Here is a 3,967-nt window from a genome sequence, read left to right as displayed (position 1 = left end):
CCAAACATTTTCTGTGACATTAATATCCTGGAAAGTGTGTCCTTTGGGTCTCTAGTTCAGGAAATGCCTTTCTACAGACATGTGGTATTTATGTACATTGAGTCTTATTCTCATCTGCTGATGCTCATATGGAAAAAGACATTAATCTAAGAAATATCCTTGGTCTTGGATTATCTGGATGAATTTTTTCTGTGCTCATAGACAAATAATATATTTTACAAAATGCAAAGTTTATAAAGAGAAAATCTTATCTATAAGACCTCAGTGAAGAAAAATCTTCAAATAAAGGGCAAAAATCATGTGTAGCCTTGCTTCATTTGTCTCTCCTTATAACTGTTCTACCATATGTTATAGAGGCAACTTATAGAAGCCTTTTCTCTCTCTTTTTTTTGTTTTGTTTTTGTTTTTGTTTGTTTGAGAAGGAGTTTTGTTCTTGTTGCCCAGGCTGGAGTGTAATGGCATGATCTCAGCTCACCGCAACCTCCGCCTCCTGACTTCAAGCGATTCTCCTGCCTCAGTGCCCCAAGTAGCTGGGATTACAGACATGCACCACCATACCTGGCTAATTTTGTATTTTTAGTAGAGATGGGGTTTCTCCATGTTGGTAAGGCTGGTCTCGAACTCCCGACCTCAGGTGATCTGCCCGCCTTGGCCTCCCAAAGTGCTGAGACTACAGGCATAAGCCACCGTGCCCGGCCCAGAAGCCTTTATTCTAATGGTATTTCTTGGAGCAAAACATGACATTGAGTTCTTGCACTGTGATTCCTACAGGCTCCATGAGGTCGATGACATTTCCTAAGAGCCTTTGAATTAGATTGGCCTAAGTCTCTCTCTCCGTTTTCTTTTATCTGGAAAAGTTTTTAGTTTCTAGGTTGAATAATGGTGAAATGCTTTACTATCTGCCACTTTGTTTAGATTGGTGCAAAGCAGTAAATCTGGGACTCCAGGCAGGGGGAGATGAGTATACAGCAAATTGTCTTTGGCAGCTAGCAATAAAAGAGGGTCACTGTCTACAAGAAGAATTGCTATAAAGGGTCATCAATTGATTAAAAGGGCAGCAAACACCCTTTTTATCTCTATCTGATAGTTAACATCTGTGCAAACCTCCGCAGCCCTAGGCTGGGACTCCCATATTCTCCAATGAGGAGTAAGTAGGGGATTTTCACCATTGGCACTTGCTTTTAAGACAGATCCTTCAGTATCTCCTCGGGAGAGGGATAAAGTGAACCTTAGCTAAGGCAGTGCAGTGGAAACAGAAGTGTCAGAATAGAGGCAGATGATATTTTAGAAATACAATTAAAGGGCTTCCCTGCTAAAGGAGGCTCTCAGGAGTTTCCTGTGTTCATGGCAATCATTCATTCAGTTGGCAGAGCACAAATGTATAACTGTTGAGTGTCCACTGAGTATCTCTTTCAGAAGCTTCCTGACACCCACATCTCAAACTTGAGGATAAGAGGATACCTTTTACGGTGCAGCCCCCTGAGTTCCAAATGCCTACATGTACCTGATGCATCCTGCCTTAGCTGGCTTCTGAGCCAGATTTCCCTGACCCACATAGCACTCACTCCAACTTGATCTACCAATTGGTAGCTTCCTCCAAAGTTGTATTAGAATCCTGAAAGAAAAACTAGACCGAGGAAAGCATAGCAGATGGAGGTGGCAGCCAAATTTTATATTCACTAATTCACTCAGTCATTCAAAAATATATGGAGCACCTGTTAGTGTCCAGCTACTCTTCCAGGTGCTGGCAATGTGGTGGTGAATAAAACAAGAAGATTCCCCCTTAGGAAGCTTACACTGAGTCAGGGCAGACATTAAGCAAATGAACAAACAAGACTATTTCAGAGAGTGACAAATGCTTTGAAAACAATCCAACAAGGAAAAGTGAAACAGAGTAACTGGATGGGTGGTTTCTACTTCAGAAAGGAGGGCATGTGCAGGCAGTGGGACCAGCAGGTGGGACTAACAGGGCTCTGAGATGAGAACAGGCCCTGCATGTTTAGAGACCAGAAAGAAACAAATGAACCAGAGCATGGATGAGGCTGGCCAAAGGGAAGGCGGGAAGTGGGCAGGGCCAGGTCGTTCAGGGCCCTGTTAAGGCCAAGGTGAGCCTCAGCTTGGCATTTATTGTAAGTACAGTGGGATGTCATTGGGAGATTTTTAATGGAGGATATGATATAATCTGTTTTATGTTTTTAAAAGACCACTCTGATTGCTCTGAAGAGAAGGGATAGTAGTACTGCAAGGGGTGTAACATACGAAAAGTTAGAAAGCCAATTTTTTTCTAATCTTCTCTGATTCTCTGACAAGATAAAGGTTGCCCTGAAAATAAAGTGAATTTCTTAATAAAAGAATACTGATAAGACTTTTAAAACATATAGATTCACACACACACATATGCACATTCAAATACTATAACACAACATTCATTGTATACCCATAAAGATAATACAATCTCTATTTTCTCCAAAGCATGTTTGCTCAAATATTGGTGGGTCTGATAAAAGGCATCATTAGCTATCATTTCCCTTGGATCTTTCCTGAATACTTCACTGGTAATTGCTCAGGTCCTTTCACAACAGGAAGAGGATTACCCAGCATGACATCCATTGCTGTTAGGAACACAGAAATTGCTGATATTGAAGAGATAAACGGGGTGAAAATCACTCCCACCACTGCCCCCCTGAAGGGGTGGATGGGCTTCCTCAGCTGTGAGGGCAAAAACAGACTTGGGAAAATATTATGAGACCTTTATGAGACCTTCAAGAAGGCAAAGGCCACTGTAGGAAGTCCAGAGCCTTGCACCTTCCAGATTTCATTAATTGCCCCTTAATATCAGGGATTGCCACAGTTCTTCACTTCAGGCACAATTGGAATTACAGAAGCTGTGAGTATAAATACACAATTATTTATTCCAAAACTTAGAGGAACCCCAGACTAGGGTAACTAAGGCTTGCCTAGTTTAAGTCCTTTCAAAACCTGTTTTAATGAATAAATAGCATGTCTGATAAATTTACTGATTTCATTCCATTTTTCCTCCTTCTCTTTCAAACAATAATTTAAAGTGGCTTCCAGTATTATATTTAAGTGGAAAAAAATAGCATTTCAAAAATCATGGGATTGGATCATCTTAAGGTGGTTCTTATGCTTATTCTTGATTCCTTTCACTTTTTTCATGTGGTTGGTCAGTCTTCAGAAACAATCAAAATGTAAATTCAGCTGTATTATAGTGCAAGTTCACTCCAATTCTGAATCTTTTCGAGTTCAAATTAATGAGGCATTGTAGTACTTATATTATTATGGTTACATATAGCTCCCATAGATTAGAGGTTCAGGATCTCTTGCATGTTTAGTAAGCATTAACTAAATGTAATGAAGCTGGCACATAATCCAGGAAGAAAGACCTGCCCAATAAAAGGGACTAATCCCCAGTGAGAAGCTGGCTGAAATGACAGAAATAGAATTCAGAATATGGATAGGAATGAAGATCATTGAGATTCAGGAGGATGAAATAACCCAATCCAAGGAAATTAAGAATTACAATAAAAAAATACAGGAGCTGAAGAACAAAATAGCTGGTATAAAGAAGAATCTAATGAATCTGACAGAGCTGAATAACACAATACAAGAATTTCACGATGCAATCACAAGTATTAACAGCAGAATAAACCAAGCAGAGAAAAGAATCTCAGAACTTGTAGACTGGCTCTCTGAAATAATATAGTCAGATAAAAATAAAGAAAAAAAAAACAAAGAGAAATGAACAAAACCTCCAAAATGTATGGAATTATGTAGAGGCTGAATCTATGTATCACTGGCATCCCTGTAAGGAGGGGGAGAAAGCAAACAACTTGGGAAACATTTCAGAATACTGTGTATGAAAACTTCTCCAACCTTGCCAGAGAGGCCAACAGTCAAACTCAAGAAATACAGAAACTCCTGCAAGATTCTACAAAAGAAGATCATC

General features: G+C 39.8%; 1 annotated feature.

The window, feature by feature from the left end:
• Positions 2,306 to 2,901: an enhancer, noted in NCBI's record as "NANOG hESC enhancer chr11:15363023-15363618 (GRCh37/hg19 assembly coordinates)". NCBI's record gives its function as "activates a minimal SCP1, AML or CMV promoter by ChIP-STARR-seq in naive H9 embryonic stem cells {active_cell/tissue: H9 hESC(naive)}" and the evidence as "EXISTENCE:reporter gene assay evidence [ECO:0000049][PMID:30033119]".

This window comes from Homo sapiens, chromosome 11 (genome assembly GCF_000001405.40).
Source record: "Homo sapiens chromosome 11, GRCh38.p14 Primary Assembly".
In the NCBI taxonomy this organism is placed as follows: domain Eukaryota; kingdom Metazoa; phylum Chordata; class Mammalia; order Primates; family Hominidae; genus Homo; species Homo sapiens.
This window is presented reverse-complemented; position numbering and strand designations above follow the sequence as displayed.